Source organism: Homo sapiens, chromosome 8 (assembly GCF_000001405.40).
Source record: "Homo sapiens chromosome 8, GRCh38.p14 Primary Assembly".
Taxonomy (NCBI): Eukaryota; Metazoa; Chordata; class Mammalia; order Primates; family Hominidae; genus Homo; species Homo sapiens.
Genome location: NC_000008.11, coordinates 90,940,912 through 90,955,486, shown reverse-complemented (window position 1 = coordinate 90,955,486; position 14,575 = coordinate 90,940,912). Strand labels below are relative to the sequence as shown.

The window sequence follows — 14,575 nt, the reverse complement described above, 5'->3', positions numbered from 1 at the left end:
CTGAAAAGAGAAAAATGTTTTCTAAAATAATGAAAATAACTTATAGGGCAAAGAACATTCAAGGTGCAAATTATTTCTAAAGAGACCATTCCCCTTACCTTTAGTCTGCATAATAACTTATCTTTCTAGTCACCATTTCCTGACTATTTGAGGCAAGATTGAACTCTTCCTATGCACTTGTTATTTGTACCATACCTTTTGGCACTTTGTTGCAGTCTAAAATTTTCTGTTCTATGTGAATAGAACTTGTTTTGGCAACAAGTTTATAAATGCACTGAAGACAGAATCATGCTATTGTTCTTATTAGAATCTACCCAACACTGGCAGTAGTTAGGCCATATATATATATATATATATATATATATATATATATAATTTATATACCCAATATTTATGAAATCCTATATGTAGAAATACCATATATTTATACATATGTACATACATGCACCTGCATTTATATATGTATATACATATATGCATATGTGTACATATACATACATATATGTACACACATAATATATACATATAATATGTATACATGTATGTATACATATAATACATATGCATTTGTATACACATACATATATGCATATGCATACACATAATATACATATATGCATATGTATACATATATTTATAAATATATGCAGCTTATGTATAATATATAATATACATATAAATACATGTGTGATTTATTATACATATATTTATACCTATATGATATTTATAAATACCATATATTTATACACATAGGATCTCATAAATATTGGGTATAAGCAAGTAGGTTATAAATAATATTTTAGTATATCTGTATGTTAAAATTATAAATGTTTATCCCAGTGAATATAGATATCCTGAAAACAAACCAATGGCAAAGATGTATGATTGGTGGAATGCTGTAAGAAACAGATAAATGGAAAGGATTGAAATTTGCTTTCAAAACTGTTCAAGTAATTTGCTGGCAATAGGATCTTTTTTTTTGTATCCTGTTTTCCCATAACCGTAGGTTTTTCTGTTATTACCAATGGACATTCTGCTCCACAGACCAAGTTTATATACTCCTTTTGTCTGGGTGGTTTGGGCTGCCATATTCCAGTATGCTTCATTTGAATGATTTTATACTTGAGAGGTCATTGGAATATATTATAGTGTATATTTTCATATCTGGATGCAATCTGGCTTAGTTGCTTAATTACTTTAGATGTATCTTAGGTAAACCACTTAGTAGTCTTAACCATAAAAAGCAATCTTACCAGAAATCATAATTTGTGAGTAAAATTAGAAATACAAACTTATTCATACTGCATTTTTAAATGTAATATCTGCTTTTTTTCTTTCAGATTTTAATTTTAGGTATAAATATGTGCAGCTATTTATTTATTTATTTATTTATTTATTTATTTATTTATTTATTTATTTTGAGACAGTCTCGTTCTGTCACCCAGGCTGGAGTGCACTGGCACGAACTCAGTTCACTGCAACCTCTGCCTCCCAGGTTCAAGTGAGTCTCCTGCATCAGCCTACCAAGTAGCTGGGATTACAGGTATGCACCACCATGCCTGGCTAATTTTTTGTATTTTTTAGTAAAGAGAGGATTTCACCATATTGGCCACTGGTCTCGATCTCCTGTCCTCAGGTCATCTGCCCACCTTCGCCTCCCAAAGTGCTGGGATTACAGGCGTGAGCCATAGCGCCCAGCTAATTATTTTTATTTTTAATCTTCATAACCATTATAACACAAAATGTACAAAACTGGTTTTTAAAAATAGTGTTAGAAGTTATATGGCCATTAAAACCCATAAATAATATTTATATGCTAGCTTCTGCTTACTGGAATAGGCCTGCTGTCACAGTGATAAAACTTTAAAATAAGGTGGGATGTCCCAATAAATGTCAAAATGTTGTAGGTTTTAAAATTGTGTCAAAAATCAAGCCTAACTTTTCCTCTTGTTCTACGAAATTCCAGTAATCATTGTTGAAATTAAATGTAACATGAAATTAATACAAAATAGGGCAGCAATTAAAAGACATTAAATTGTATTGAGCCTGGATTCACAGAACAAGAATTGATCCAGTTTTATCTGTAGTCAGTTTTTCTTTCTAAATTAGGAAATGCTCTGAGAGAGAAAGAGTAATATATGTGCCAATGACACTAGTAGTGTCTAGAAAATAATTCCAGATAATGATAAAGTTGGGTCAGAAAACTATCAGATTAGTCCACATTTTCAATTCTTGCTATAGCATTTTCCCCCTCACTGATAATTCAGTAGCCTCCTGTTCTATCCTCTTTTCCTACTCTATTTTTGATCAGGTTGTTTCTGTCCTGGAAAGACTCAAGACACTAATAAGAACAAGCTTTGTTCCTTTCTTTCCACATTGGTTTGGGAGAGATGGAAATGGGTGTGATGACAGACACAAAAATTACAAGTGTCAGGACTTCGTGGAAATTTTGACCGAAGACCAATATATTTATGATGATGCCAAAGTCCTATTCATTCCTTCATTTAGGAAATAATTTCTTCTTGCCATATACTGTACTATAGTAATACTGTAATAGGGTAGGGAATGTGAAGATAAATAAAATGTGGATCTCACTTTCCTGCATTCTATGTACAAAGCTTGCAGCAGTCATATTTACAGAAGTTGTATTCTAAGATTTTTCTCCCTATTTTATTTTATTTTATTTTAATTTTATTATTATTGTTTTTTGACATGGAGTCTCGCTCTGTCGCCCAGTCTGGAGTGCAGTGGTGCGATCTTGGCTCACTGCAACCCTCCGCCTCCTGGGTTCAAGCAATTCTCCTGCCTCAGCCTCCTGAGCAGCTAGGATTACAGGCATGCCCCACCATGCCCAGCTACTTTTTGTATTTTTAGTAGAGGTGGGGTTTCACCATGTTGGTCAGGCTGGTTTCGAGCTCCTGGCCTTGTGATCCGCCCACCTCAGCCTCCCAAAGTGCTGGGATTACAGGCGTGAGCCACCGCGCCCAGCCTTCCTCCCATTTATAACATCATAACACTATACATCCCCCACTCATCCCCAGGAGCACTGTATCTTTGCATTTTACTCTTTTGGTTTCCTTGATACTCCACTGCTTAAAGAAAGGCATCTCCCCAAGCTTCTCTTAGATATTTTGTTCTTACCTACATACTTTCTTACCAATCCCAGGCTTCAACAATCATCTTGCTGTGGTTAACTCCTGAAAATTACATCTGCAACTGGAGTCCCAAACTCTGGCTATTTCCTGGTGCAGGTTTTTTTTTTTTTCTTCCCTGGCCTAGATTATTGCCCTAATTGGTTAATCTCTCTCCTCTCCATGACATCCACCTTTCTCCCTCCTGTCAGTTATTACTGATTAGAACATGTCACCATCCCTTTCAAAACTTTAAATTACTCCAGGTTGCTGTTCAAAAGCCTCATTATGACATTCTCAACCTCACTTCTTACTCTCTCGTCTGTCTCCACTTGTACTGTAAGTTTTATGCCTTAGTGACACCTTTGCACCTATAAAGCACATTCACACTTCTTGCATTTGTTCATGTCCAAATTTACCAAAGGACCCTTCCTCTCCATCTTTACTTTTCCACATCTCATCTTTTAAGGACTAGCTCAAGTCATTTTCTTAAAAACTATTAAAGAAGTAATCACTTCTCCAAGTCCACAAAACACATATTATCTCTAATGGTGACAGCTATTTTATTCCCTTAGCTGGGTTTTTTTTTTCTGCTAAAATTTGTCTTTGCAAACGTTTCTGTGAAGCTGGACAGAAAGCACTTTATGGGTAGGGATTTTGCCTTTAGTTTGTACCCTTTGTAGCTCCCAACACAGTGCTTGTTCAGAAATGGAGCTCAATCAGTACCAGTAAATTAGGCTAAACACCCTGATGCCTAGCACATATTAATACTCAGTAAATATATATTTAATCAGTAATTGGATGGGTAGATGAACAAATTGTATCCAGTACACTAAATTACAATATGATAAAATATTTGAATAATTTTTTGAAATATGATTTGGTGGTACTTCAAGTTTGTTAATATGATTAGCAAATGACTAATGGTTCAGTATAGCTGGGAATACAAATAGGGTCAACTAAGGACAAAATAGAACAAATATATAGATCTTTTATTTCTTCCCCCCAATCTCAAATCATAAAATATATAAAGAAATAAATAAGAGAGTACCATTGATAAAATATAGAAGGAAAGAGCATACTATCTTTTACGAAACAAACAAACAAAAATACAAAAGGACACAGAAGCATTGTAAACCCAGGATAATTACCAGGAACTAGCATTGTAGATGTGAGTTCTGGAGTTTCCAAGAAATCCACATTACTTCTTTGGAATGTCTTGCTATAATTTGTCTGAAGGTGGCTGTATAAATAATTATAGGTTAAGGCTGTGCATTTTTATTTACAATCTTCCCAAGTACAGCAGAGATCAAATTTGATCAAGATGGCAAAGTTTGGGATGATTTGGATTAAATAAGCTCCTGGATACAAGCTTCTTTTAATGGTTGTTCAGCTTTCAAAAATGACTCAGGAGTAATTTAATAATTGTCATCAGAAACTTTTTTAAAAAGGTTTTAAACCAGGAGAACATTACTTTTTTAGAGGATAAAAAGTAGATTTTATTGCACCAAATTTAAATATATCTTGTTTAAAAACAAGATAGATAATAAGACAGACTGTATATTTTACATTTCTAGATAATAAAAATAAATCTAAAAAGCTATGTGAAAGTGTTGGCCTGGAAGCAGAGTCGAATAAGTTACCTCGTTTCCTTCTATGGCTGAAATACTGTTGGTGTCATTTTGCCTTCCTTATAGCACAAAGTGCCTTCAAAATTGCCACAAAAATAAAACTTTTAGGTGAAACATGGATCAACTGAATTTCCAGGTATTCTATTACTTCCATCACCATATTTAACACCCTAAACATGGACTTATTTAGAGAGCTGTATTCTCTGTACCATTTTAAACTGTCAGGAATTGTTATATACTCTCAGAAGAGCAAACATTTCTTTCATTCCATTTTAAAATTATATGTTTGTTTGCTATTAGTAATTATTTTAATTTTTAAAGAAGCTGATTTATTTTAATTTTTGACAACGTCTTGAATTTCCACTTTATTTTTAGTGTTTAAAGACATTTAGAAGGTATTGGGCTGCAATGACTCTAAAAATTATATGTAGTTTTATTGTAAAATAAAATAACTGCACAGACTATCCTATGAAAAATTAGGAGGTAAAGCTTTTTTTCCCACCTCACTTTTGTCCATCCTTTTTCTCCACCCCCACCACTACCCTCACCAGCTTTAGACACTCATACCCCCTATCTATATCTTCTTATCTGAAAACATCAGTAAAATGGTAAGACTCAAAGTGGGATCATTACCAAAAGTATTTGTACTTCAAGAGAGAAGTGGTTTCTAAGCTATTAAATACATTTTTTAAAGTGTGTAGAATTCATGGTAATGGGCAAATGGGACAGGTTTTAAGGTAAGGTAAAAGAGAATGGAACTTTCCTACAAATCCTAAAATTACATCATGCATATTGCCACCTTCCTGGCTTCACATAAAATCAGGCTTGCTCACAACTTACCTATTCCATACACTACTATTCTCCCAGAACTCATAGATCATGTAGCGAGATTCATTTGAAAGCTTCTGTATAGAAATACTGAAATGGAAAATAAAAGGCATAATTAGCTACTGGAAATTAAAGATGCAAGCTAACTTTTCTAATATCCATATGTAGTATGAAACAATCTTATCCATTAATAGAGGAAACAATCTAAGGTGCCTGCATGAAAATCAAACAGATTTGTCAAGAATTTATTTATTCTAAATATGTCTGTTAGGCATAAGTGTTTTTGTTTGTTTATTTGTTTGTTTTTTTAGTTTTCTGGTTTTGCATCATGAAAACAGTCTCAGTATATTGCAGACATCACAAATGTAACTTTTGCAAAATTGTGTTCATTCATTCAAAAAGGTTTATTGAGCATCTGTTGTGCTAGGACCAGAAAAATGTGAGTGCATGCTACCTGCCTTTGCCCTCAAATGTAGCTGTTAGGATTGGCCCTATCAACCACCATACCTCTGCCAAATTCTTAGCCATACAACATTCCTGTATTGACAGATTTTGTGTGGGTCCTGCTCTATGCCATTTGAGTCACTTGGACCACACTACTGCTATACAACTGACTCCTAGTTTGCCAATACCTAGTGGCTCTCTCCCTCTTTCTCTTTTTTCTCTTTCTCCCTCTCTTTCAAACTCTCTCTCCCTCTGACACACACACACACACACACACACACACACACACACACACACACACACACAAAGTGCCTGTTGTCTCTGGATGAAGTTTGAGAGTCCATATTCTGGCCATAATTGCAAGGGTTTTTTGTTTGTTTTACTTTTAAATTTCTTTTCCAATTTGGGTGAGACAAATTTGTTCCTTCCAGTCCTTTGACTAGCCCGAAGGAGGAAAAAGTCTACATAATATGTTTTGAAGGAGTGAAGAAAGCAGGCTGGCTGAAAACATAGGTTGAGGTGACTGCGAATTTAATCCTATAGCAATGAGAAGTCACTGAAGGATTTAAAGCAGGGAGAGTGACGTGGCTAGAGCTATATTTTAAAAGATCCTTCCGATGGCACAGTGGGTTTTGTATGGAGGGTATTATAAAGTAGAAAGAACAGCTGGAAAGATAGTGAAATAGCATAGGTGAGAAATGATGAAGACCCAAATTAATTTTGAAACAATAGAGACAGATTCATAAACTTAAGAGTGGGAGACAAAAATAAAGATGCCTTTAAAAACTGAATTACAAAAATACAGATTGTTCAGCCTAATGGTTCATAATATATTCATATTAGAAAGCAAAACGAGGGGTTAGAAAAACAATAAGGCTTTTGGGTTAACAAAGAACTTACCAGTAAACTTAACAGTAAGAGAACACATAACTTAGCAGTAAAATAGTTGATTAATGTAGATTTAGGATTTACCTAAGTGTGACCAGCAGGTGGCAGTAACTACACACAGAGATTTTAATTTTTTTTTTCTTTAGTTCTGCTTGTGTTCTTTTCAGTTGTTTATCTAGTTTGGTTCATTAAGGTATGATGCAGCAAATATTGTTTTTAGCTCAACTTCAGATTTTCTGGAGAAAGGTTTACTATGGAATCATAAGAATTAAATGGAAGGTGGAATTTGTGATTTTCTAATCCCAGGAGTTCATGAATGTGCTCTTTGGGGGTTCACTAAATTCCCAGAAATGATCTGCAAATGAATGTGCATATATATGTTTTCCTAGGAAGAGAATCTATAGCTTTCATCATAGTTTCAAAGGGATGTAATCCCCAAACATAACCTTCAACAGTATACTGGACAAATTACAATCCATATCAATTTTCTTAAGGATAAAGTTTAAAATACTCAGCCTTGTATTTCAAGCTCTTCATCAACTGCTTCCTGAAAACTAATTCATTTGTTTACTTATTACATTAAAATCCTACTTATCCTGCTATTTGAACCTTTCATTTTCCAGGCTAGCCATAAGACCATAAGATAAGAAATTCATAAAATTTTAGCATAATGCTAAAGCTTTTGAAGGAGTAAAAAGGAGGACAACACAGTATGAAATGGCAGTGATTTAAAGTATAGCCCAGCAGACCTTCCACCATCCACCATTTATTAGCTGTGCCACCTTGATTCCAATACTCAACCTCGGTTTCCTTATCTGTCCAATAATGATAACAATACTTTGAGAATTAAAGTGTTACATGTAAGGCCGGGCACAGTGACTCACACCTGTAATCCCAGCACTTTGGGAGGCCAAGGTGGGCGGATCACTTGAGGTCAGGAGTTCAAGGCCAGCCTGGCCAACATGGTGAAACCCTGTCTCTACTAAAAATACAAAAATTAGCTGGGCACAGTGGCATGTGCCTGTAATCTCAGCTACTCAGGAGGCTGAGGCAGGAGAATCGCTTGAACCCAGGAGGTGAAGGTTGCAGTGAGCCAAGATCAAGCCACTGCACTCCAGCCTGGGCAACAGAGCGAGATTCTTTCTGAAAAAAAAAAAAGAAAAAAAAAAAAAGAAGTTACATGTAGAATTCTTAACTCAGTACTTGGCTTATTGTGTGTGTGTGTGTGTGTGTGTGTGTGTGTGTGTGTGTGTGTGTGTGTATGTGTTGTTAGCCCAATAGCTAAAAGGAAAGTATCACTTTTATTGGGCGAGTAGCTATGAAAGCTAAGCCTTAATGGTGTCTAAGCTAAGAAGCAAAGCTAACAGAAACAAAAGGAATGGGGTGGGAGGAAAACCAGAAAAGAAATGGAGGGAAAATGCACATATCTATTAAAGCAATGAGAAGCAGCAAGCTAATAATATAAGTATTAATGGTGGTGGTGGTGATGATTTCTACATGTATTGCTCTGTTCCAGGGTCTAATTTAAGCATTTTCCATAGATAAGCCATTTTACCTTCACAGGTACTTTGGGGGTCATGTGGCTACACTGTCCATTGCCTCCCCAAATAGTACTCTCCTCTTACTAACATGACTCTGCCACTGTTCAGTTTGCAATACACCCAATGTACCACTCAGTGTTGGACTGAGAATACCCTGATAACCTTACTCCTCTCTGCTGGACACTTGTTTCCTAGCCTTCCCAGTGGCCAGCAATGACCATGTGACTTGAATTCTGGCCAGTGAGATGCAAGGGGAAGTATGCTGGGAAGCAGGGACTCTGGGAAAACATTTGCATCTTCAGGATCAGACATGAGAGGAGAGCTTGTTGGTTCTCCCTTTTTCTTCCTGACTGTGGGCCATCTGGTGAAGAGCCAGAAGGCACATCTGAAAGACAGACCTGGGATCTTTGATGACAGCATTAAGCTGTAGAAGAACCTTGAGATTGTTGCCTCTGACTTCTTTTTGAGAATAATAAATGTACTTATAATATAAATGACTGTTACTGTGCTTACTCTAGATTGCAGTTGCAAGCATTCCTATTTGATACCGGAAGGTGCTGTTGTCATCTTTGTGTATTTATTTCTCCATTGTTTACAGATAAGGAAACTGAGGAATGGAGAGACGAAATGTCTTGTCCATGGTCATCACAGCTGCTAGTGAGTAAACCAGACTTTGAACTTAGGCATCTTTGCCTCCAAAAGCTGCACTCTGACAAAGAGTTAGGAAACCTAATAAAGGTGACTGACAAGAAGCAGATGCAGTGATGAAAGTGCAGATTCTGTCTCAAAGGCACATGGGTGAAAGTGCTAACCAGAATTGCTTTACAGAATGGGTACTTTCAGTTAAGGGCCAAAAAGACCAATATGGGGCAATGACATTTAAGGACATTGATATTTGAGACTATACCATATAGATAATGACACACAATGATCACACTGAGACAGCAAGAAAAGTCCAATTGTGAAATAATTTTTAGAAAGATTTGTCAGCAGTTGTTAAAGGCTTAGGGCTTGAATGATTAGCTTTCGATTATTTGTAAATGTAAAACTGCACAACAACACACCTGTGATTTGTTTCTTATGTGATTCTACTCACCCGAAACAGCCTGTGTCTTTCTCCTTGAAATCTTCATACTTCCTGTGACACTTAACACTCATTGGCTAAAGCAAGAGTTCTTTGGCTAAGCTGTCTTTGGATGCAGGCCCCAAAAGCTTCAACCTCGAGCTTTGGGAGACCTTGAATATTCCTGGATGCTGGAAAATGTGTCAGTGAAATGGCTTCTGGGGGAAATGGATGTGGCTCAGGAACAGGTGGGATTAAAGATTTTAAATGAGGAAACTGCCCATAATGGACGGGACTTTCCCTCTTGGCTTCTTCCTTCCCCATGTGCATGTCCTACCTTAAATCACAAGCAAGGCCTAACCAGTGAAGAAAAGACATGGCAAGAGGGCCAGTCCTCACATTTCTCCATACCAAGCTGTGGGTCACTAATTTATTTCGTCTATATAATTACTGATTAATGAGGCTGGGCACGGTGGCTCACTCCTGTTATCCCAATACTTTGGGAGGCCGAGGTGGGCGGATCACTTGAGTCCAGGAGTTCAAGACCATCCAGGGCAACATGATGAAACCCTGTCTCTATAAGCAATACAAAAATGGCCCGGCACGGTAGCTCATGCCTGTAATTCCAGCACTTTGGGAGACTGAGGCGGGCGGATCACGAAGTCGGAGGTTCGCGACCAGCCTGGGCAACAGGGTGAAACCCTGTCTCTACTAAAATACAAAAAATTAGCCGGGTGTGGCAGCACGCACCTATAGTCCCAGCTACTTGGGAGGCCGAGGCAGGAGAATTGCTTGAACCTGGGAGGTGGAGGTTGCAGTGAGCCAAGATCACGCAAGCCTGGGCACTCCAGCCTGGGCGACAGAGCGAGACTCCATCTCAAAAAAAAATAAATAAATTAGCCAGGCATGGTGGCATGCACCTGTACTCCCAGCTACTTGGGAGGCTGAGGTGAGAGGATCACTTGAGCCTGGGAGGTTGAGGCTGCAGTGAGCCGAGATTGCACCACTGCACTTCAGCCTGGGCAACAGTGTGAGACACTGTCTCAAAAATAAATAAATACTGATAAATGATTAATGATTCAGTGTGCCACCATTATTTCTTAAGGATGTCTCAGAGTTGATTCTTACAATGTAATCCTACATTCATATTCCTTAGGCCCTTGACATGGAGTTTTGAATATATTCAAATTCTCGAATTTCGTAGCTGAGTGACTTTAGAAATCATTTTGTTCTATTTAACGACTATGAAATTTTAGGCCATGAACATGATTTTAATTGTGCTCTACCTTCATAAATGAGCATCCTATTTTCCCAACTGGAGTCTAAGATCCTTGAAAGCAAAACTATTCTCTTGTTCTCTGGTGTCAAGAATGGTTCTGAGAACATACCGTGTACACCACTTATATTCAATTGGTACCTCCCTATGACAAAAACGGGGATTAATGAGCCTTCATGATTACAAAATAAGTGAAGAATAGTGTGTGTATGTGTTGTATCAAACAATGTGTGTGTATATGTTATAAACATGAGTCCACATAATCTGCTTGAGTTTTTCACTAACTTAACTTTTTAAAAATTCATCTAACTACTAAAACAAAACCTCTGTAACTCCCCATACTTCAGAGTCTCCTAATCAAAAACTTATAGGGCAAAACCTCTAATTCAGTGGCCTGAATTTAAGAAAGCAAGACCTTGTTGTAATTGGAACAGGAGTGGACTTGTGTGTTCTACCCCTGGTTAATCACAGAAAATCCAGGAAACTCTAAGGATGACCAAATATTGACAAGAAGGATTAAACGCTAGTTTTAGAGTCAGACAAACTTTAATAAGTTTTTTTTAACCCATCTGAGCCAGTTCCTTCTAAGCTGGATGTAATATGTGCCTCTTGATTATTGCTGTGAAGACAAGAGGATAGGCACAGTGGCTCAAGCCTGTAATCCCAGCACTTTTGGAGGCCAAGGCAAGAGGATCGCTTGAGCCTGGGGGTTCAAGACCAGCCAGGGCAACATGGCATAACCCCGTCTGTAAAAAATTTTTAAAAAGTAGCCAGATATGGTGGCATGTGCCTGTGGCCCCAGCTACTCTGGTGGCTGAGGTGGGAGGGTTGCTTGAGCCCAAGAAGTTGAGGCTGCAGTGAGCCATGATTGTGCCACTGCACTACAGCCTGGGCAACAGAGCAAGATCCTGTCTCAAAAATAAGAAAATAGGTGCAAAATGCCTAATCTTGTTAGTCCTTAATAATATCTGTTTTATTTTATGGAGGTATTTTGTGCCTAATCATGATGAGACTAAGCTAAACATCATGGGAGAACAGAACCTCTGACATTCACAGAGATTTATTTTCTCAGCCAAGCACTAGGCAATTGTGCTGGGTGCATTGGAGCATGACTGATGGCATCAGTGGCATTTGATTATCAATTGATACAGGTAGAAAATTGAATTTGATTAACTGGTACAACTGAAAAATTGAATGTAGACAGACACACTGGCATAACATCTATACCATATATATTCCATATGGGTGTAGTGATTCCCTGAGGCTCATTCCATCTGATATAGTCTACATTTTGATAATTCCAGTAAAAGAAATTACCTGAAAAATCAGCAATAAGAAGTGAACGAAGAATTGTATGAAACAAACCAATCTTGCAAAGTAAACAGAGAGGCTGAAAATCTATCTTACAGGAAAAAGATGCTCTCCTTTCCTCTACTTCACAGCAGGAGCTGATGGAGCAATTTATTGTGGTTATTGAGAGAATGGAATTTGCAGCAGGCGGCACAAATCTATCCACTCTCTCACTCCCCCACAGCCTGTTTCCCTTTCCCTGGGGCTGTTCTAGTAGCTCGAGGTCATTTTCCCAACACCCATTAAAGTAGTGTTTCTGAACCTAAAAAATAAACTTGTGCGCCTTTTTTATAAATATAAAACATGCACTCAATCCCTGGAGATTGTAATACACTGAAATAGACTTTATCTTCTCTGTATCCTCATTAAAAAGAGTTTACTGAGCTCTATTTTGGGAAGTTTACACTGTGAACGGTGTATATATAGGTACTGTTTGCATTTTTCTTTTTTTTTGAAACAGAGTCTCGTTCTGTCATCCAGGCTGGGGTGCAGTAGCGCGATCTCGGCTCACTGCAACCTCCGCCTCCGGGGTTCAAGCGATTCTCCTGCCTCAGCCTCCTGAGTAGCTGGGATTACAGGCACATGCTACCATGCCCAGCTAATTTTTGTATTTTTAGTAGAGACGGGGTCTCATCACGTTGGTCAGTCTGGTCTCGAACTCCTGACTTCGTGATCTGCCTGCCTCGGCCTCCCAAAGTGCTGGGATTATAGGCGTGAGCCACTGCACCCTGAATTTTTAAATATTCAATTTTATTTTCAAATGAGTGGGCTCTTAAAAACTACACATATTCCCACCTTTGCAAGTCTTGAGTCACTGAAGTAAAAAGGACTAAAATGGGGTTTTGATTTGTGCCCTCTGAGTCTGGCGTGAAATAGAATAATAAAAATAATCATGGAAACACAGCATTTCCTGTGTTCTTGTTTCAAAGGCACTACTGGAAGATGATGAGCTGTTAGTGGCACTGAGGAAGTACTGTACTCATACTCTAGAGAGGAGGTCAGCCACCCAGACAACCAGGAAACAGTAGTAAACGCAATAGTGACTTCAGCTCACGTCTTCAGTGGATGGGAAGCATTGTGCTGAGCACTGCATATGGACTGTCTCACTGAATCCTCCCAACCATCTCATGAGCCTCTTGAGGAGGAAACTAAGGCTTAGAGCCAGTGAGGGTCTTTCTCAAAACCACAAAGCTAGTAAAATTCCATGTTTATTTCCAGAGCCAGACTTCTTAGCTAGAGAAATATTCTGCTGGGGTATGAATAAAATATAATTAATTGAACACTGAGAGGAAAAGCAAAACACCCAGAGACATGAAGTATCTGTTTATGCACACATGTACACACACATACACAAACACACACACATTTTCTAAAAACCTTCCCAAAGCAACATTTGAAGAGCATTATGAAATATAGTTTAAGCAAGCTCATAAGGTAGGGTTAGACTTGGTTGTGGAAGTTTTCTAAAAGCAGATGAATTTGGACCTGGGCTCTGAACTTGAGGCAGTGCATGGGCTGGCAGAGACTTGCAGCTGGGTGCACATTTCTGAGAGGAAGAATAGCCAGGTCTGAGGCACAGTGGGGAACAAACAGATTATATCAGAAATTCTATCTGTGCATCACCGAGGCAGAGTGTTTAGATGAGGGAGAACAAATAATAGTAGTGATATGGATTCCTGGGTCTGTCAGTAGGATTAAATATAGAGTCAGGACAAATGTCTAGCCTTTGATAAGATACTCATTAGAGAGTTACTTTAGGTTCCCAGTTAAGGGAATTCTATGATAACTGTTTCCAGAAAATTATTATAGTAACTATTTATTGAACCAGTTGGAGTGAAAAAATTGAAGATGAGGAATAGTATATTTTAGTAGCTTGAGATATCCGAAGCCTGAGCTGGGTGGTACCCATGGAAAGAGGAAAGAAAAGATCTGCTGCTGCTTCATTTTCTTTTAATGACCAAGGCCTGAAATCATGACTTCAGGGATGCCTGCAATTTCCTAATGGCTGAAATGGTCATTAGGCCACAGGGCGTACTGCCAAGGGAGCAATCACAGCTAGATGTCCTAGAGTTGGCGCCTCATCTACCAGAGATGATTTTAAATCAGAGTGTGGGCTGCCTGGATGCAAAAGGGAATTTCAACTTATTTGAAATTCAGTCTCTTCATTCAAGTTGTTCTATTTCATTTTACTTGGTGCCCCAATGATCAGACGACACGGGGTTTAAAGATTAGACGACACGGGGTTTAAAGATTAAAGAGAAAACATTCAGTTAAAGGCAGCAAATGACATCACCCAGGTGGAATGCTCTGTATAATTTAATGTGAGGATTCTCAAATATCTGTCTTCTAGACCCCCAGCCTTGTCTAAAGTAAGAAATGCCTTCACTGTATTCCCAGGCTGCCAAAGGCCTAAGGTGCAGGAG

The 14,575-nt window shown here is 38.0% G+C and overlaps 1 protein-coding gene and 1 long non-coding RNA gene across 6 annotated transcripts in view; one reads left to right on the top strand and one right to left on the bottom strand.

Annotated features, from left to right (window-relative positions):
• Positions 1–14,575, bottom strand: part of NECAB1 (N-terminal EF-hand calcium binding protein 1) — a 167,619-nt gene that overhangs the window by 3,907 nt on the left and 149,137 nt on the right. Inside the window, exons 11-12 of one of the 2 annotated variants that reach the window (NM_022351.5) lie at positions 5,603–5,680; positions 4,283–4,374 (exon numbers count right to left, since the gene is read on the bottom strand). In NM_022351.5, coding sequence (NP_071746.1) covers positions 4,283–4,374; positions 5,603–5,680 — 170 coding nt within the window. The remainder of the gene's footprint in view (positions 1–4,282; positions 4,375–5,602; positions 5,681–14,575) is intronic. The other variant, XM_011517213.3, reaches the window with a different exon arrangement.
• The window catches only part of LOC105375634 (uncharacterized), a 109,088-nt gene continuing 96,013 nt past the window's right edge, over positions 1,501–14,575 (top strand). For 3 of the 4 annotated variants that reach the window (XR_928396.3, XR_928399.3, XR_928390.3), the window contains exon 1: positions 4,370–9,120. This is a non-coding gene — a long non-coding RNA (uncharacterized LOC105375634). Of the gene's footprint in view, positions 1,544–4,369; positions 9,121–14,575 lie in introns of those variants that run through there. The other variant, XR_928395.3, reaches the window with a different exon arrangement.